Raw genomic sequence first — 22,123 nt, 5'->3', positions numbered from 1 at the left:
GTGTTTGTTTGTTTTGAACAATAGCATTATCTGCTGGAAGGCAATCTTGCAGGTTTGGGCTCTGAAGTTGACGTCTAATCTTAGCAGCTCTACAAAATGGTCTTCTTACTATTTAGTAGATTTTATTGACTAATGTGTTTGTAATGGACATAATTTCTAGTGACATTTGTCATTTCTGACTCAATTAACCTGGGATTCTACAAAGTTTTTTAGTCATGGCTTACCAACAATGCTATAAAGGAAGTAAGAAGAAAGAGTGACTTCATGTGCTCTGTAGCTTTTCAAATTTTCCTTGTGTCTACAGTGGTTGTTAGAGCTTATGCTTTAAAATGGGGAATGCTTTAAAATGGGGCTGAGTTTTCAAGTTAAGCTTGATATCAAAATCACATATATTGTAGAGGCTGTAAGGTGCCATAATAGTTGTTCTTAATGGCAAATAAGCATCTTTCTGGAAAGTCATAATTCCTGAGAATTTGGATGATATAAGCATATTCAGGAATAATAACAACGTCATCAATTATAAACTTTCTCTAAAAATAGAAGCAGAGAATAGTGTCATGAAAAGTCTATTTATTCAAAAGTCCCTCTTAGATAACAGGTATTTCTAATCTAGTGTATGATGTTAAAAGTTATGTGCTAAGTGACTGGGGCAGGGTGGAAAATGAGCAAAGAGAAAAGCCTCATATTCTTTAAAAGATTATCTTAAGCATATTGATTGTTAGTAATTGATAATACTAAGTTATACTGGTGACTACCCAAGTTTCTGAGAATTAGCAGAAGAAAGAGAATAGAATCATATCTCATGGCCAATGATGTTTTGTTTTGGTTTTGGTTTGTAAGTAGTCTTTTCTCCTAAGGGATTATTTGCTCAGATGTGAATGTTCTTCATGAAAGGGTGGTCAGGAGGCAAGCTGGGCTGGTACTCCATTTGTTTATTTGCTAAAGCAAACAGGTCATTGCTGCTTGGTCTGTGAGTGACAAGTCATGAATAAAAGAAACAGCAATATGTGAGAGTCAATGGGCAGCCTTCTCCAATAGGAAAGGAGGAGGACCAGCATGCTGCTCTCATACTAAGGATGGGGGATATAGAAAGTTTGACAAGGAGCAAACTAATTATGAGGAATCAGTCAGCCATACCAAAGAAATGAGAAATAGTACTTTAGGACAAATTGAATAGAAAAAAAGTAAAATCCCAGGAACCAGGAAGGATGAAGGCAAATACCGTAGAGTATTGAGGAAAGGATTTGCTTTTTCAAGATCAAGATCATGGAGGATATCTGTTCTTTTCTAACAATAGCCACATGAGAATTGCCAGGCAATTGTTATAATAAACAGACCAGAAGTTACGGTTATGGCCAATGTAGCAAAATCTCTCTTTCTTACTTGCCAACCTCCAAGTTCTTGTCAGCGCATATAATCACATTCTCCTGATTCATTCAAGTCTTTCCATTCTAGTCCCTGATGTGCTGGTTATACTATGAAAATAAATACTTAGCCAAGTAGAAAATTTAATCACAATCGAGTAATCCATCTTTAGCTCATTCACATACTTAGATTTCTACAGGATTTAATTAGTAAGCCAGTCTTGCTGAATGCATCTTCCATGGACTTGTAAATCTAAAAGGTTTTTGATCTGAATAATGACGGAGAGAACAAAGTAATTTTGATTAACCAGGTCTGACTGTAAATAAATTGGGGTTCTGACTTTTGATCTAAAAGGGATTCTCATTCTTTTCTTTGTATATTTCCCATTTATTTTTTAATGCTGTTTGACACTGAATGGAAGTGGCAAGTTGTAAGCTCTAGGAATAATAGGCAGTAGAAGATATAACTTTATATTTATTATATTTCATTGAACTTAATTTTTTTTTGTCCAGAGAATGGACTCTTATTGTGAAATCTGCTCAATGGTCTTACCGTCAATTTAACTTTTTGCCTTGTAGGAAATGCATTAACTAGGAGCTCAGATTTAGGTCTAACAGCATGACTTCTTTTCTTAGGTGTTTCTGTCTTACTAATAAGACTTTAGTAGGCTATTTATCATCAGTTGGCCAGGATGACTTATCATATAATAAAGGAAAATCATTAAAGCCTCCCATAATGATTTCATAATGATGCCATGGACTTAAGTGATCATTTTTCTAAACTATTCCTTCTTTTTTTTCCTGGCTGTTTCATTTGTGTCAAATCAAATATTGTCTTAAGGACCATGCCCCTTGAAGTTTTAGAAATGCATGTGGGAAATACAAGCTAAAATGCTATTGGCATTTTTTTCTGATTTTCCCCAGTCATATGTATTTATTAGAATACTCGTAGATGAATAGGCAAGATGTTTACTGTACATTTTAATTATTATGTTCCTGACAGTGCTTAAGCATTTAATATATGCTACTGTGCAGTAAGCCTCAAAATAGCCCAATCGGTTAGATATTACTGTACCCATTGAATAGAGGAGGAATATGCTTAGCAAGGTTGAATAACATTTCTCTGTCATGCAATGAGTAAGGTTTGGAGTTTGTAACTCCTAAGCCTTTATGCATTTCCCATTATGTTCATATAAGTGTAGAGTGATGAACAACACATTTTCCTTGACTTAAAGAAGTTTATAGGGGAAAATTTAAAAGAAACTATATACATTTAACTAAAATATATTTAGAATGTGTTATCACTGTAATACCACAGTCTGTTATTTAGCCCTGAATGAGTATAAGTAATACTGAATTAAACTTTCAAATTAATGCAAATACAATCAATTAAAATTTTTGTCTGTGAAAGTATACAAAAAGCACCCAAGCACTGTTCTGTCCAAAAGAGATGGTGTTGTGACTTATGACAGTCAGTTTAGTTGGTAGGAATATTCTAATATCAACATGAATTCATCAGTCTTTCTTGGTCTATTATCATTAAACAGTCAATTCTTATGATTAAAATCCTTGTTTGATTCTACATTTACTAAGAATAATTTTTATCATAAATTATTTTACCAATTAACTTGCCTTTAAGGAAAAGATATGCTGATCCAAAGACATATGTCCTGTCACATTAATAGTTAATTGATTACTTGACATTCTAATATAATAGTATTAGACCCTATAAATTTAGTTAATGTGGGCCTCCAACAAGACTGACAGTTCAAACTACTGCTCCTTCATGGTACTGCTAATGCCAATACATGACAAACAGGAGGGCTGCTGGGAAGGCCTTCCTTCTTCCATATTTGTCAGCCTTCTGTGGATTTTCAAACACCATGCCTCTTTCTATGTGGTGTTTCTCAATAAAGTATCATGGAAGCAAACAAGTAAAAGTCATGTTTTATTTTAATTGGACCGTAAATTCTTAAGAGTGGCATTTGGTATAAGTCTTGAACCCTGGGTGAGATTTCACTGTGGAATAAGGGCACATCAGGCAGAGAATATCAATATTAATCTTATTTCCCTGTATTAACATTAAAATACATAACCAAATGTATTGTGAACAAACAAAAATGGAAAGTCAGAAGGAAGATGATGTCTACACTTAAGAAGCAGAAGCAGATGGAATCGTAATGGTTTTGATTTCAACTTGAAATTTTGTGTGTTTCTGGGAACTACCTTCCCAGAAATAGACAACTTTGACCAATTGTAATTAAAGGAAGGAAGGGGAGAGAAGAAGTGGTGAAAGAAAAATCCAGAAGAGGAAGTATGATTTTTTCTGCAAGAATCATTTAGTGAATATCTGACTTTAAGCACAAAGGCAAAAATTAAGCTGTCTTCTACTGACTTCAAAAACAAAGGATGATTTGACACAGATGGAATCATCCACAATTGTGGTATTCGTAAAACATATCAACACCCATATAAAATATATTTCTTTTTAAACTGCTTTTCTCTTTGTTCATATGCAATTTGCAAGAATACAAGCCTTAATTATGGGTTTATTTGCCACACGCATTAGACTATTTAATTTCTGAAACTTACTGATTGTTACAAGCATCTCATTTTTAATACTTTATTTTGCTAATGGCACCAAATCCAGCCTGTCAAGATTAGGAATTTTTCATAGCCGAGATTAGGAAATTTTCCAAACGGGGCAATAATGTTTTCGTAAAGCTCTGGAATAAAAATGATGGATAATTTATTATAGAAGTTACATTAATAGATATTAAATTAAATTGATGTGAATGTACGTTTTTGGATTAAATATTAGTATTTTTCTCAAACAATATTATTGCAGTATTAAACTAAGAAAATAAACTTGAGCTTAAAAAGTCATAAATATTTTTGAATATGTTTTACTAGCAAATATAACTTTTCCCCCCACAGATGCAGGATCAGGATCTGGAGATGGAGGTAGGAGTTGCCTTTTTACATATTTGAAGATTTACTGGTGGATATTATTATGTATATTTACTTATGTATGTTCCATTTCAGATATTTAAGACAAATTTCATATTTTGCATTTTAGGAAAGGTGAAACCATAAAAAATTGTCACCATATTAAGTACATGTATATACCGTGCAAATTATTTGGCATACTTATGAATCATACTCTATCTCCAGTTAACCTTCCTTGTTCATTTGTTTGTTTGTTTGTTTGTAAGTTATCTTTGATATGGATAGGCATAATGTAAAAACTTCTGAAGAGAAGCATGTAAGCATATTTGGCAGGGAAGAAAGAATTCATGAGGAAATCATTTAAATATTGGATTTTTAAATATATGACACTGCTCTCAATTACTAGGTGCTAATAAGACATACATAACCTACCATATAGCCAAGGTTTTAATTATCAGATTTATAATTTGAAACTGAAGGAACTTTAGTTCATAAAAGTGAAAAAGATAAAATGAAGTCCAATGAAAGTAAAATATTATCTTTGCTTCCTTGATTAAATCTATAGTTATTTTTACTAAAGTATGATATATGTTCCCATTATTTAGTTTTGTTTAGGGAAGTATATAAGATGAGAGAGAGAGAGAGAGAAACTTTAAAAGTTTGATCTAATGTACTTACTACCAAATAAAGATTTTACCTATAGATTGAAACTAAATTGTAAATGTCCCAAATACTTTTCCCGATGAAATTCAAACAAAATTAGACTTTTATACACACAAAGCAAAACAAAACACAACCTATATATAATTTCAAGATTAAGAAAAACAAAACAAATAAAAGCATTCTCTCAAGACCTTGCTTCAGTTGTGTAAAATAATTAAATGTGCTATTCCAAGTTGATTTTAGTTTTTAAATACAGAATTTGATAAAAGATAAGTAAAAGAAGGCCTTGGGTTCAGGGTGGCAGATATTTAGTGCACCCTTTATCTAGTTCAGGAAACACTTGAAAGATTTATCAAGTTTCCTTATGTAATGAAAGACTTAACTAGTTCAAATAAGCAATACCCACAGAACATAATTAGAGCAGCATATTGGAGCACAATTTTTTTTTCATAAAGACTAAAACTGAACAGCAGCAGATTGAAACACAATTTTTTTCCTAAAGACTAAAACTGAACAGCAGTCAAGACTCAAGCATAGAATATGTTTCAATGTCCCATGATGTTGGACAGTCCTTTGATGTCTGGACAGTCTTTCTCTACTTCTAATAAAAGTTTTCCTAGCTGATTAATATAGTATTCCCAAGAAAGCGTCCCTAGAGGTTTTGAAAATAAGACCTTAGAATAGCATATTAAATCTTAAAGAAAAAAAAAAGACAGGAAAAAAGGCAGTTCCTTTAGTAGATGTTTTACCATGGGAATATTATTAATAAGAAATCAATTAATTTTTTAAAATGTTGCTTTTGTAAGGAAACAGTTTCTATGCAAAATTCTGTATATTTTCTAGCTGTTTAGTTTTATATGTAGACTACCTAATTTTGCAAATATTGTGCTGAGACTGAACTGTTCCACTGTTTACCCACCAGTCTTGTTAATTTTCTAGCATCTTTAAAGACAAAATAAAACATACCAAGAATGTCTTCATTTCTCTTTCTGTTAAAGCATCATCATTTACTTTTTTCTGCTTGACTATCCTACCATACTGTACTTCATATCTTTATTTTTCTAACAATAAGATGTGAACTTTGTTTCACATACTAGTTTCTAGTTTTCATTCATTGTTATTAGCACATGCAAATGGAAATGAAGTCAAACTCACTCTTCCCTGTTGCGTTTTATATTAAAATCTTTGGTTCATTATGTTGTCTTGTGATCTGAATAAGACATTTTTTCAGGAAATAATTTTAATCTCATGAATATGACATGTATAACTTATACCATATAAGTGAAACATCACTTGGAAAACACTTTATTTTCTTTCTCTTTTTCTGTTTTTTAATCACTCTTCCTTTCAGTTAGAGGTGCTTCATAGTAACTTGGAGAAAACAAAAACAACTTCCGATGTTTGCTTTAGAAAAAAAAAGCATATAACACATTTAATTCTGAGCTTATTCTTTTAAATAACTGCAGTTCTGAAAATTGTGGTGATGAGTATTTGCTCCTAATTGCATACAATTTTTAAAATTAGAGACTGATCAGGTTTTTCTCAACAGAACTGCTTGTTTTTCTAGTCTACATGTTACTTTGGTCTGTAAGACTATTAGTTTTAATTTTCTTTAAATTCTTTATTGAGGGATGCCAAAAATGCTTAGTAACTAAAACCTAAAAACCTAGTTTAGAATAACTTGCACAAATTCAGTTCACATATCCATTGGGTTGTAATCGTAAGATATATTTGACTTGCTATCTCTCTTATACAGATGATAGACTTTCCTCTGTATTTTTGTAGAATTCGTATTACCAAGGTTTTGAGAGGGCAGAATCAGCTTCCTTCATTTTTGAATAAAGCAAAAGTGATTGAATAACTTGTGATTGTTTGGCTAATCCAACAATTGTAACTAGTGATTGTTCTAACTAATCTCTATATAACATATTCTCAGTAATGTGTATTTAATTAATAATTGGGTTTACTTGGCAAGCACTTTGGATGGTTAATAGTTATTTTCTAATTTCTTATTTTAACAAAAGTTAATATAATTCCAAAATGGAGTACACTGAACAAAAGAGTGAAGGGAACAAATTTACTTGTAAAACATTTATCATGTGTGACTATCATAAATGATATCATTAAACTTACAAATCTAAAATCATGTAAAAATATATCAAATATTACTTTTTAAAAATTTTCCTATATTTTAGCGTGAATGAATATTACATTAGTAATGAAAATTAGACCTGATTATTCTAAAAATAATTTAAGCTTAACCCATTTGCACAAGGGTATGTCTGTCATTTACTGCATTTGAGAGAACATTTTTACTGCAATATAAAAGGGACATAAAGGTTTTATAAAATTTATTTTAACTTGTTATTGTACATTTTATAGGGAGTTCTAAAATCTTCAACCATTGACCTATTTATTCAGCTGAAACAATTCAAACAGTTAACTGTATTGAGATAAAACACATTTACTGTGCTTCCAACATGACCCACAAAGATGCATTCTCTCCTAAAGGAAATTTGTAGAGTAATAAGATACAAATACTTCATACAAATCTTAATGTTTGGCTGTCGCATTTCGCTGACTGTATCCTCTTCTTTTAGTGTTTAAGAAAACTCATTAATACAAAAGATAATTTTGTATTATTAGTTTTGAACATAGGACCCGCCATTTATGGAACTCTGTTTTCGAACAAAAACGTTTGTTTTGAAAGGCATCTACATCAAATAAACTTGTTGGATAGATTCACACCTGACAAAAAAAAATTCAAGATAAACTACAACTGTGAATTGTGCTATAGGGAGGTAATATGTGGTCCAAATTCCAAAGAATTTGAGAAAGTGATAGAAAGAAAACGATTGGTGTTTCAGGTACTTATATATGGAAGTTTAATGTTGTAAATAAGAAAACGGGTGTGTGTAGGAGGGATAATAACCTCTTATCCACCCACAGACTTCCTTAAGCAACAAATACTGCAGGAAGAAAAAGTATTAAAGGTGCCTCCTCTCAAAATTCAGAGGTGTGTGGGTGGTTAAAGAATAATTTTTAACCCCTGCTTTTCTCTATAAGTCTTTCAGTCATATTATAAAGACAATGCTATGAATATCTCCATTACTGTTTTTTTTAAATATTTATGTATTGCTTAGATCTTTGTTAGATTCTGAAAAATAAATAAGTCTGGTGAAATTAAAACCATATTTTAACTATCAAAATAATTATAAATGTATTATCCTGCTGTACATGAGCAGAATCCACAGTTAAATTTTAATATCATCTTATGGGAAGTTGTATGATAATGTTTATAGAAATAAAATGTATCTAAGATACACAGCATAGATACAATAAGTATATTTTTATTTCATGAGATAAAAGGAAGCACGGAACTTACTTATACAATTTATATATTTATATACAATTTTAAGATAATTCTTTAATAGGTTATTGTTGGATATGTAGAAGTCAAATTAAATTTATGTTTATTTGTATAAAAAAGCCTTATTTTTATGTGAATTATCCAGATAATTGTTGTTATGATAAATTTGGTGTAGAAAATCAGTTGACATATGGTTTTTATTTAATGAAAAAATTCCAGTACAAATTATTTTCATATAACATTACCAAAGATGTCCATAATTAAGACATTTGCTTCATATACATATTGGATAGAACAAGAAAGGTTTACATGGCAACACATTGTAGATCTTGGGCTGCTATTTCTGATTATGTGAACTGCTAAAAACTGGCAAAAATATTTTAAGCACTTTGAAACATGGAGATAATTTTAAAAAAATCCTTGTCTTTCTAATGTGGATTTTATAATATTTAGTAATTTGGTTGACTTGAAGGAAGGTAGTACTATAACCTAGGTATTTTTGCAAGATTTCTGGGGCTGTAAAGATGAATATGACACAGTTCTTTACACTCATGGAGATTACATGTAAATTCTCTTCTGAGCACACAATGGAAAAAATTATGATTCTAATTATGAAAAGAAAATTATTCCTCTGAAGAAATAAAATGTTAAATATACTGTAAATAACAAGGAATTGAATATTTATTCCATAAAATATGCTTGTAAAAGGCTAAGTAATTTTCCCTTCCATGTTGCTGTACTAATTCCCTCTCCAACCAGCATACCTTTTCCACTTCTCCACTATCATGGTCAAAGTCTGGCAAACACAACATACCTCATCATGGTTGTATGTTTTGTTCCCCCCACCAAGCGCTTGGGCTCACATTACAGCCAAAGTCTGACAGGTGTCAATTGTAAGCAACTTCTGCTGAAATACTGATTTAATAAAGAAATTCTACCAAGCATGACACGTCTGAAATTCTTCCCAGGCAATATATATGGGAAGAAAGCAGAAACTATCCTCTTTTTGCTCTGCCACACCTGAGAGCTGCTGTTCTGCTGGAGATGAGCGTATAGCCATCTGAACTTCAATTGAAATCTTATCTCAGCTCTTCTTAGGTTGAAATCCATCTTACTTTCTCTTTACCTAAAAGAAGAACAGTATAGCAATGGAGTAATGAAATAGAGATAGAATGAATGAGGACCATGTAATGGATAACAAAATTGGAAAAATATAGAAAGCAAACAGAAGGAGGAAAATAAAGTGAGAATGATGGAAAATGAAAAGGGAGGAGAAAGGGACCTTTGTTATCAGCATGGCTATAGTTTGTTTTCACACATGAATACGTTTTTACAAATAAAAATAACTTTTTTTTTCTTCCAGTAGAGCAGTAATAGCTCTCTGAATTTCTGCACATTGCTTAAGAATGTGAAATAGATGCTACAAACTTTTGTCTGAATCATCCATATGGGTTTTTAAAAACTATATATAGGAAAAGAAAGTTAATCATTGTGTGTAGTATGATAGAAATGGCTTTGGATTATGAATCAGGAGATTTGCCTTCTAGATTTTTAGCTGACTTGAAGAATGCCTGTTTGATTTTTGCTCTCAGTTTCCTGGGAGATTCACTTATTTTGTCAGTGAAACAGTAATATGTATCTATAGGAAAGATGATTAAAATTAAGTAATGCAAATAACTTTGAACTCCAAAAAATTCAAAATGAAATTAAAAGAATTTATGTTACCTTTGCTCTTTATTCCCATATACTATAAGAATATAATTTCTCCGAAGGGTTTAATTAGAATTTTGAATCTTTTAATTAGTGATTTTAAGTCCATGGCTTAAAGTATTGATGGTGGGATAGTAATAACTCTAAGAATCCAATACAGTTTCTAGTATTTAGAAGACACAGCTAGCTCTGACTCCTGAAAGCAAGTGGAATCACTGTGTTAATACACATAATAGAAGATAAATGCATCCAGAGGAAATGCAGTTACACAAGATAGGTAAGAAATAAGGAATAATGTTTAAAATTTCAAAACAGTACATAATTATTCTTAAAACTACAGTGGCAGGCATATTGCCTTTATAGAAAACCAATAAAGAAGAAGTAGGAGGGAGTCACAATGTAGGAGATTCTGTATACTTACAAGAAAGAATGTTTGTGAGGGCACTAAGCATTGCAAAATTTTTCTTAGGGGATTAAACTTTTTAGAAAGAGATTCTTTCAAAATTGATGGGAAGATTTTATTACAATTCTGCTTGATGTCAAAATATGAACTAGCTAAATCTATAAGAATCCCTATGTTCATGTATAATGATTTATAAAATGCTGTATAGTTTATAGAAAGCACTATTATAGCATTTATTTTAGTTTTTAATTTTTATGAACACATAATAGTTGTACATATTTGTAAGTACATATAATGTTTAGATATAAGCATGCAATGTATCATGATAAGATCAGGGTAATTGGGGTATCCATCACCTTATGCATTTATTATTTCTTCATGTTAGGAACATTCCTATTGTATTCTTTTAGTTGTTTTGAAATATACAATAAGTCATTGTTAACTATAGTCATCTTGTTGTGCTACCAAACACTAGATCTTATTCCTTCTATTTAACTGTATTTTTGAACCCATTAGCTATCCTGTCTTTATCCCACCCTTTTAAACCACAGCAACAGCTTTTGGATGTGTAGATGAAGATCAGAAAGAATGAGCACTTTATGCAGTAAATATGGTGACTAAGCCAGTCCTTGAACTTCAAGAAGGAAGGAAACTAGTCTGCAAGATTGCCCTACCTCTTGTACTTCTTTGCAACAACTATACCAGACATCATCTTCTATGGTTTATATAAATCATCAATTCTACCAGCAGTCCGATGACATTCTATTATTACATCTCCTCATCCCCTTCCCACTTTAACTTTTGATTCTGAAATCATCTGTTCTACTCAATGTAATTATCTAAGTTAATCACACACCTCAGTCCATGGGACTTAATGATTGCCAACTATTCTATTACTTTTCCCCTTTGTTTATCTAACCCTAATCCCATTCCTGATCTTCTGTAAGTATTCACTCTAAGGTATTTGAGATACTTTAAATCATTGCTAAAAATATATATAGGATAGTTGTGTAAGTAGCAGTAGAAGGTAGTGGTACAAAGCACATATTCTAGAGCTCTAGACTCTGGATATGATCCTGGCTCACCACTTACTAGCCAGGCTACTGGCCAGTACTTACTGTAGCTGCTGATCCTGGACAGGCTACTTAGACTCTATGTTTTTCATTTCTTTACTTGTGACCCTGGCATGGTATGCAGGAAAGTACTCTAAAGTTGAGATTTGTGCACATGAAACTTAGGGATTTGTGCTCTCAGGATCAGAATCTGCAGAAGGGAAGAAAGTAAGATTGGGAAGAGGGTGAATTTGAATTGGTGCAGTTAAAAAAAAAAAGCTACACAGCGTGGCCCATATGAGTTCTCAAGATGGGATGGCCTTTATGAGTTGTCATCAATTGGAAAAGCAGGGCTGAGCTTTTATACCCCACCATTAATCACCATAGATGTGAGCAGTTCCCAAAAGGGAGCATACCGTGGGCCAGGCAGCTCTCTTCAGCTGCAGACTGGACCTGGAGAGGGACTCAACTGTAAGCTATCTGAGTGAAATACTCTAAGTAGCTGAGGAGGGAAGAAGGTGGACATTGCACCATGGTATCCACTAAGATCTGTAAAATATAAAACAACAACAAAATAACAGAATTCTTAACCTTGTAGAACTTATTTCTTGGAAAGAGACATGAGCAGTAAACAAAAAAGGAAAAACACAGATTGTCATATGGTAATGAGTGTGATGCAGCAAGAGGAAAGTGATAGAAGGGAAACGAGAGGTTACTAATTTGGGGTGATCAGGAATGCCTTGGAGAAGGATCAGGAGGGAATGAAGGGGCAAATCCTGCAGATGAGGGAGAGAAGGACATTGCAGGCAAAGGGAACTGCAAATGAGAAAACTCTGAAGCAGATGCATGTCTGGGATATTCCAAGAACATCAAGGATGTTAGTTGGGCTAAAATGAGTGAGAAGATGCTTGGTTGAAGATGTGGAAAAAGAGTGGGAGTGACCCTCAAGGCCAGAAACAGAAAGTTCTTTTTCTGGGTGAGCAGGGAGCCATTGGAAGGGTCTGAAGGAGAGGAGAATGTTGTAATCTGACTGGTGATTTTAGAAGATCACTCTGGCTGCTGTGTTGAGAACATGCCTTGCTGAAGTAAGAGAGTAAGGGAGAAAGCAGGGAGACCTGTGCAATTAAAAGGAAAAAAAAGATAAAGTTTCTTTTCTCTTGTTGTCATTGATTTGGGGATCACAGTATCTCTTGTCTATTTTAGACATTCACTCTGCTACTCATCTGAGGGACTTTGTGTATGGTCCTTTATTGAGTATATTGAGAAAATATCCTAGGTTTTGCTGTAGTCAAATCTATTTTTAATCCTCATAAGGTATTTTTATATTGGGGTTTTATTTAAGATATCCTTCTTCTTTTTGAAATTTTTAATTCCAGATAGTATTTAAGGCATAGGAATGTCTCTGCATGCTGCAGTGCATGCCAAATTGCATTGAATTTGTTTCAAATTTGGATTTGAAAATACAGCTTTTTCTTTCAATGTACTAAATGAACAATACATATTATAGGATATGATTTTCAATGTGTACTTAACAAAGAGCAATTTCATTTTCTCTGGTAAATTACACACTCACTTGTTACAGCTTTGGGATTTTAAAAAATCCAGGAATAAATAGAAAACAATATGTTTAAATAATGTTGGCATCCTGGCTCAATGAGTCAAACCAAAAGAATTATTCCAGTGCCTGTCACTTAGTAAACTAGTTCTGAAAAATCTTTTAATTTTGTGTTCCTTGCTGATCTCTCTCTGAAAAGAATAAAGGGAGAATTAACTGGATTTCAAATAATGTTGGCCTGGTGCTTCCACAAACCTATTCTGCAGATTGGTTATTTAAACTGCATTCATTCCAAATTAAATAATATTTCCTATAAAGTTGAACTTTTTCTCTATTTTCTTCTAATTTTCCAGCTGCATTCTTACTCGTTTCTCCTGTAATTTGTCTGACTGGATTGCTATTCTGTCGTTACCTTCTTTTGGTGAAGGCCACAAACACAAGGAACATATTAGTGGAATCAGTTGGAGAGGGAACCCATTTCTATAATTGCATCTACAAAAAAAAATGGTGTACTCTGCATATATTTGGTCCTGGCAACATTGAGAAGTTTGCATGTTCTTGTGGGCATTGAGATGGTGTGAAAGTCATTACAGATATGCTGACTATCCTCTCCAGAGAACATAGCACTTGCAGAAAAATATGACCTTTGGCAAGTAGAATTTCTGACACACTGATTTAAGTGGTAGTGGTGGCAACTCGTTGAAAGGACATGTGGAGCTATACAGTGTCATCTTTTCTGGCCCCTTTGAGCCTCGTGATATAGTTTGAGATCTAATCCTTAAGGGTTAGAGAGTTTTACAGTGTTGAGAATTTTATTCAGTTACTCAAAAGACAACTGTAATAGCAACTTCAATGTGGTTATCTTTAAAATAGCTGTTATTTTAAAATATAATTAAAGAGAAACACAGCTGGCAGTTTAAAGGAAAAAAAGGAATTAGTAGTACAGTTAAATAGTGCATCTTAAATAGTGGGGTGATATTAAATGGTTATATTCTGGAAGCTCATGCCCACACTGCCTTTGAAGTTCAGGCTGCCCAGCCACATTCAGGCATTGATTCAGGAAACTCCCTTGGCCTTTCAGTAAGAGAGAGCTCCCTTATGCCAGAACTGCTTTGAAATAGAATGTGGCAGAGCTGTAAAGTGGGTCCAATTCTACAAGTCAGCACACTCTGTGGATTTTCCATTGTGAATAGTTCTCAGATCTATATCTTCAGACCCTCCACCAATAGTATATTTCAGCCCTTAGGTATCTCTCATCTATAGCATTGGAAAAAAGCCTCCTAACAGGCCTCCCCAATTCCATACTTGCCTACGTAAAATATTTCTTACTTGCACAGTCAGAATATTTACATAGAATACTTATCTAAGTATATAATTCCCCTACTTGCAATTCAGCAATGGCTGTCCATCATCCTTAGGATAAAAATTAGTCTTCCCAACAGGAGATACAAAGACCACCAGAACTGGTTCAGTTCCTGGCTCTCCATTCACATCATTCATTTTCTCTACCTCAGACTTGACACTCCAGTATAACTTTTTGTTGATAGTAGTTCAGTGGGATAGACCATCAATTGATTGCATACCTCCATGCTTTGCTAATGTTCTTCTATTTATCCAAAACCCTTCCCATGTTTTTGCTTAAACATCATTCATATTCCAAGACTAAAGTCAATGAAAATCTACATCAGGATGATTGTCCTCAATCTTCTGGTTGGACTACATGTCTCTCATCAATTATACTTTGTATCATCAGTCTGATTCATTCAAATAGTCTGTGTATTATATGTGCCTCAGGCTAATGACTATTAATACCTGTATATTAGAAAAGAAAGCCTGGTGCTTAGTAGAATTTTGTTAAATATTTGCTCAGCTGAACCAATGCATTAATACTAACAACAAAAAGTGTGCTTAATTCAGGTGTGATGGCATGTGCTTATAGTCCCAGCTACCGAGGAGGCTGAGGTGGGAGGATCGCTTGAGGCCAGGAGTTAGAGGCAGCAGTATGTTATGATAGTGGCTATAAATAGCAACCGTACTCTAGCCTGGGCAATGTAACAAGACCCCATCTCCAAATAAAACCAAAAATTTAAACAAAAAAATAAAATTTAAAAAGAAAGTGTGCTTAAATTTCTAAATGTTTCCACTCACATTCGCATGCTGCCATTTAAATTATTTGAAATTCTAAATTAAAAGCTGGATATGAATGGTTTTGTGTACTAAAATAACTGTAGAAGTATTTTAACTTCATAAAAGATGACTGAAAACCAGCAACAACAATAAAAAAATAATGGCATGCCAGGAGGAGCCTAGCAAAAATGGTTTGCAAGCTTAGCCTGAGAGTCATCTAATACCAGTATATGAACTTGTGATCTACCTCATTCTCCAAAAGTAGTGTGCAGAAAGAAAAGAATTGAAGATATTTTAGGATTCTAGCTAGTTTGTTTGTAATTGAGGTAATTTTCACCTATATGAATACTCTATTCCACATCCAAATTACTTATTCAAATCCCAAATGACTTTGGCCAGAGAATGTATTATTTGGAATTCCATTTGATGCCTTCATTTAATTTGACATTGAACCAGTTGTGGGGGGTGGGTGGCAGGGGACTGTCTTTTTGGAATATTCAAGGAGTTATAATGATAGTAAATTTATGATAAAGTTCATAAAATTTACTTTAACCATCAAAGCATATTACTTGGAAAATAAAATGCTAGATATTAATTCCTCATATCTAGAAAGTCTCTTACTTTTGTGAGCAAAGAGAATAGAATTCTTTGAGCATTTGACTTTTGAAATACTCAAAGATATATGGAGAGAAAAATGGAGCCTCCATCTGATGCCATGGGGATTCTAGATCAAATGATTTTAGAGTAAGTCACATCACTGTCAGCAGACTGAAAGTAAAGACTCAACCAACAACGTTTCATAGAATTGTGTCTGGCGTGTGCTATGTGCTTGTTAAATACTTGTTAAATTAAGGGATGAATGAATGAACTGTCAGGGAAGTGATGTGAACTGCTAGGAATACAATTAGTTGATGCATGCATCAACACGGAAGCCACTCTTCTACTTCCCAGTAATTGCTAACTATGACCCTCAACTTACTGAGAGTGGGCATAGGAAATGCCATAATACACATCATCTCTGAAGAAACCTGCAAAGTGATTCTGTTTCATCCATTAACTTCAAGCCAGATCTCCTACCCCTGTCCTCATGCTCTTTTATCTCATCTGTTTGCTTCACACATGAAACTTCAGCAATGTAGTAATGCTCTGATCGAATATAAAATGTAAGTGTAGAGGATAAAAAGGAGAACTTGGAAAAAGAAGGTAAAAGAACAAACTAGTGAAGAGAAAAGGACTTTTCTATGCAAAATAACAGAAGGAGAAAGGAGAAAGCAGTGATGTTCAGCATTTTGTAGAAAAGTTTTAATGTTTAAGTAAGGGAAAAAAAGATGGAATTTTAAATAGCTGCAGGCGTGGGTAGGCTGTATTAGTTTTATACATTCTCTTAACATTTCAGTATTAACATATACAATATTTACTAAGTTTATGCATTTCTCCCTTTGATTGTTTCTATACGCCCAACACATGTTTTCAGAAGAAAATAAAGAAAAATGTGTTCCAGGCAGAGATTTTTTTTCCTAACTCCACCACCACATGCATATTTCTCACCCATCTAAAATAGCATTTAATGCTGCCATTAGATATTTTATTAGGAAAAATAGGTTTCGTTCTTGCCAGATAAGACAAAGGTTGAAATCAATGCTTCATTCTGCTGACTAGGAGAATTAGACAGCCTTCTTCTACTCCGGTACTTTTAAAAATGTGTTCTGTGGGACTTGAATGCCTCAAGATGCTATTCTGAAAAGAGTATCCATTTAAGTGAGGTTGATAAAAGCAACATATTTTGATGCCTTTTCAAGAGCCATATATAAGGTGACCAACCAGTGCCAGTTTGCCCAGGATTTTTCTGATTTTAGCACTGAAAAGCTTGTATCCCAGGAAACTCTTCAGTTCTAAAAAACTGTTCTAAAAAATTCATATATATCTTGAAGTAAGAAATATGCTAAATTTTGTTTGAAACGTGTTTTTTAAAAGAATACCTGACAATGAAACATTTTTTCTTAAGCAATAATATTAAAATTCAAAGGGATTAGTCATCTATGATACACACTTTGGGAAACTCTGCCCTAATCCCATCCATTTTTCTCCTGGCCCCTGGAGTCTCTCCATTTTGTTGCCCCGTTTTGCAGGGCATGTGGAGCCTGAGGAATGGTCTAGTATTGTAACTGCTTGAGTTTCCTCCTGAGCCTTAGACTAGAGGTACTTAAAGCCTTAAGCCTGAAATTTAAAATAATTTACATATTGAAAATATTTTTATCACTTTGAAATATTTCTCCTTTCTCAATATCTTTTACAAATATGTACCTGTCTTAATGCAAATCTTTTGGGAATTTCTACAGGAATGTAATACATTGTAAGAAAAATCCCTAAAAAGTCTATATTCCATTTTCCATTACATAATTCTGGATGAGTCTTTGTATATTTTGGGAAGTATGTGTACATTTCAAAGAAGAAAGTCATAAAGAGTTTTGAGGCTGCCATGGTATGGCAACATAGGCATTCCGATAACTCTCTTCTGAGCCCTCTCTGTAAGAACAATTCCCATACCTGAGGGGAGGTAGAAGAACAAGACAAGGAGTAAGAAGCATAAAACGGAAGACAAACAATGTCAATGCTTGGAAAGGGAGAAAAATTCAAATTCACAGCCACTTAGTTTCACTTATTTTTCTTTTCAAATAACCAACAGTTAAAAGTTTCATCTGGCTCAACACACCTATACTCCCACTGCGTCACGAACTAGAAACAGGTGCCTTTTCCTTCACCTGCAAACAGTCATAAAAGGCAAGCCCATTTCAGTGAACACCCGAGGACTGGGCAAATGAATGTATGAAAGGGGATCTACTACACTGAATAATGTTTCAAAAACTGTATTTGTTTCAACTAATTCTGAATTTTTTCTAAATTCAGAGATATTTGTCTAACTTCCTCTAAGTAGTTTTCACCTCTAAATATCTGAGAATTAAAAAGTATGATTTCTGACATTTCTAGCACACAGTATCTACTGCTAATGCTGAGGGAGCATTCTTTTTGACAAAGTCTCTAATTTTTTTTTTTTTTTACCTCGGAGACAAGACTATGCAAAAGAAAAATGCAGTAGTTGCCTACTGTTCCCTGGGGTTATTGGAGAGGAAAGGGAGTGGATGGGAAAGTACTTCAAATAGTATATTACTTTTAGGTATGCTGCTTTCAAAGGGGGTAATTATAGAAACACTGACAAAGACACATCACTGTTGTTTTACAAATTTTATGTGTGTGTGTATTTGTATGACTCACAAAAGTTCATACAGCTTATCTTCTCCCATAATTGATAAGCCCAGTATAACACTCTAGAGACTAAACTATCTTGTTTTAATATACTTATAATGAGTACGTACTATGTGTCAGGCATTTTATAGCCATATGTTAAGTACTTGCTGTAACTCTTCAAGAAAGACATATCACCTCCATTTCTGGGTGAAGAAAATAAGAGACACAGATATTAAGTTATTTATGCAACATCAGGTAGTGTTAGTGGCAAAGCCAGGATTTACACCCAGGCTCCTGGACCTCCAAAGTTTCCCTTTTCTCCACTGTCTTTATGTGTAGTCTGTTATTTTTTAAAGTCAAGGATTTATAACAGAAAATTATAAACTTTCATATTAAAATATGTTAAATATGTTATTTTGGTTAAAAGTAAGGTGTTTCTATTAAGGAGAAATACGGCACTAGTCATAGAAACATCTGTGCTATTTGTTTTGTGTGATGTGTCTTTGGCTTGCTAGTCTCCTGCACATGCAAGTATGTGTGCACAGGTACACACACACACACACACACACACACACACAGTTTTTATTCAGAGTATTCATTCTGCTAGTATGTATTAATAACTTTTATATATTGCTATATTTGTACTCTGAGCATTGATAACATAGCATAATATTATTATACTCTGTGCCAACCATATTTTAGATGCTAGAGATACAGATAAAGTCCCAATTCACAGGAAGCTTAATTCAGAAGAGAAAAAACAGACATGAACCATGCAAATAAATAAGCAAAAACATTTCAGAGTGTGGTTACTTTTTTTTTTTTTTTTTGAGACGAAGTCTCGCTATGTCACCAGGCTGGAGTGCGGTGGCATGATCTTGGCTCACTGCAACCTCCACCTCCCATGTTCAAGCGATTCTCCTGCCTCAGCCTCCTGAGTAGCTGGGATTGCAGGCACATACCACCACGCCCAGCTAATTTTTGTATTTTTAGTAGAGACGGGGTTTCACTATGTTGGCCAGGATGGTCTTGATCTCCTGACCTCGTGATCCACCTGCCTCAGCCTCCCAAAGTGCTGGGATTACAGGCATGAGCCACCGCGCCTGGCCTGTAATTACTTTTAAGAAAGTAAAACAGTGATGTTATGCAAAGTTACTAGGTTTTGTGGTAAGAGTGAGATTTTCACTGAAGCCTTAAGTAGTAGAAAGAACAAGGTACACAAAGATCAGAGGCAGGGCATTCGGAGCAAAGGGAAGAGCACAGGCCAATGCCCTAAGGGATGCCTTAGTGAAATCCAGAAATAGAAGGAAGGTAAGTGCAGCCCGAGCATAGTGAATGAGCAGGAAAGTGGTAGAAGAGGAGAGTAGGGAAGTGGTAAGGAATTTGGAATTTATTCATTGCATCATGGAAAGCCTTTGGAAGACAGTAATATAATCCGGTTTATATTTTCAAAAGATTGCTCTGGCATCTGTGTGGAGAATGAATTGTAGATGAGGCAAGAGTAGGTGCAAAGAAAGCAATAAAAAGATTATTATAGTGGAGCAGGCAAAGAGGATCCTGACCTGAATAATATGGTGGCAACAAAGGTGGTGAGAAGGTGACAGATGTCCTGGGGGCCATGTCTATCCTCATTATTTCCCATTCCTTTCTATATTGTTATTGGTGTGAACAAAAATGTTACATGCCAACGCAAAGAAGGATATGGAAAAGGGAAGAAAAAGAAATAACCCCATCACGTCATTTAGCACTCGCCAAGTTCTCCATGCCCATTTAACATAAATGAATGTGTAGGTTTACTTTTAAGACATGAAAATGTGTCATAAAAAGCATTATTTTAAAAACCAAAGCCCATGCATTGAGCCTACTATATTCATCTAAAGTAATTTTCTCAGACTTTCAAGAGAGAAACAGATTGATGTACTTTTGGGGTTGTTAACTAGTGGCTTTTCAATAAAGCCTGAGTATATTGATGATTTTGTTTTTCACTTACCTTTTAAAATTTATACAATTTAAGTACCATCACTGGTATGGCAGTAAAAAATAAAATATAAAAATAGACAGCTCCATAATTTGGCCTTTAAATGGCTTCACATATTTATATTCTATGTAGGATATGTAACAGATTGTGACAACAGAATCAGATATAATCAAATTGCAGCCTTACAAATATAGCAAATATCATGAAACAGCTCCCTTCTGCTGACTCAAAGAGTGGGAGTTTCATTTCTTTCATTATATTTTTTCTGTAACAGCTTATCACTAGCAACACCTTTGGAGCATTTCTCCTTCTTTGTCAATGTAAATGTCCACACAATAGCGCTTTACCTATATTTGCCATCAATTTTCTCACATTGGATTTTCTACTCTGGAGACAACTAATTTGAGTAACTGGAAATATAAAGCCTATGGCTTCCACCTTCAGTTTCCCAGTTCACAGAGCAATATAGAAAGTCACTTCCAGATGCAGAAAGCCCAAGGCCCACCCATAGACTTTGTTCAGCCTCCGTGGTGCTCCTTAGCTTATTTCTCTAAAGCCTGCAGATTTTCATATGTGGTATTTGGGGAAAATCTTATTATCAATATATAAGCATCACTACAATTAAGCTCTGCTTGTTGTGATGTCTGAATATCAATAAGGACTCCAGTTCATCCTGAGAGTGACAGCCATTTAATTCACTCTGCCTGTCTAATCTTGGGCAAGGATTTAAAAGATGCTGTCAAATATTTGTAAACATGTCGTGCATTTTTCTTTCACAGAGATTCTTTTAAAGTGAGAAGAGTTATTTTCTGTTTTGTCTTGGATTATTGTTTGGTTTTTAAAAGCTCATTTAGCTTTTCCTCTTCTTTAATAGTAAATTGCAATTTTTTTTCCCCCTAAGACTCACAGGAGCTATCCTTCACTGTATTCATGAAGTGGGAGTAGTGCTGTACCAGTAGGGGGCGCTCATATCATACCTATTTTGTGGGTTGGCGAAAAGTAAATTTTGTAGGTTTGTGTAGTTAAGGGTGGAGCTATTTTAACTCTAAAGCCAACAAAGATTATGAGTTGGAATAGAAGTTATTTCCCCCTGTTGAAAAGTTAAACTTTGCTAAAGTTGTAAATCTTCACTATGGTACGAGTTTAAGTGGCTTTTGGTTAATGAAACTGCATGCTGTGGTTGATGTTTTCAGATAGCTTAATGTGGAGAATTTAAAACATATTAAAAGACTTTTTTCCTGATAGGTATTATCAAATTTTTTAATCCATAAATAACAGACACAGCACACTCACCCCTGATTTTAAGGGGTTTCTCATATTTGTTTCATGGCTGTAATTTCATGTAAACATGGCTGATGGTGATGTGAGTAGCAATGGACATAGAGTTCAACTTGTTTTTCTGGTAAGTGTCTCCTAAGTAAGTTTACTTTGGGGTCATTTGCCTTCTTCATTACATTGGCATCAAGTGTAGTCCCAAAGGCATCAAGATCATGATTAGCTAACTTTCACCAACATCAGTAAGGAAGCAGCCTGAGGCATCCTTCTATTCCTTTTTCTTCTTCAAGGTTGTTATGTTTGTCCTTTGAGTTGTCAGCACCCTTCAAAACGCTCTCTGTAATTTTAGAACCTTTAATATGGTGAACATCAAGCATCTCATCATGCCAAATGTAATTTTCCACACCCCCAGCATTTAATGTGTTCACAGG

General features: G+C 34.0%; 1 protein-coding gene across 6 annotated transcripts in view; it reads left to right on the top strand.

Annotated features, from left to right (window-relative positions):
- Positions 1-22,123, top strand: part of TMEFF2 (transmembrane protein with EGF like and two follistatin like domains 2) — a 245,888-nt gene that overhangs the window by 10,938 nt on the left and 212,827 nt on the right. For 3 of the 6 annotated variants that reach the window (NM_016192.4, NM_001305134.2, XM_017003740.3), the window contains exon 4: positions 4,302-4,328. The exons of 2 other annotated variants lie outside the window; for them this stretch is intronic. In NM_016192.4, coding sequence (NP_057276.2) covers positions 4,302-4,328 — 27 coding nt within the window. Of the gene's footprint in view, positions 1-4,301; positions 7,254-22,123 lie in introns of those variants that run through there. One more of the 6 variants, NM_001305145.1, reaches the window with a different exon arrangement.

Source organism: Homo sapiens, chromosome 2 (genome assembly GCF_000001405.40).
Source record: "Homo sapiens chromosome 2, GRCh38.p14 Primary Assembly".
Lineage (NCBI taxonomy): Eukaryota > Metazoa > Chordata > Mammalia > Primates > Hominidae > Homo > Homo sapiens.
This window is presented reverse-complemented; position numbering and strand designations above follow the sequence as displayed.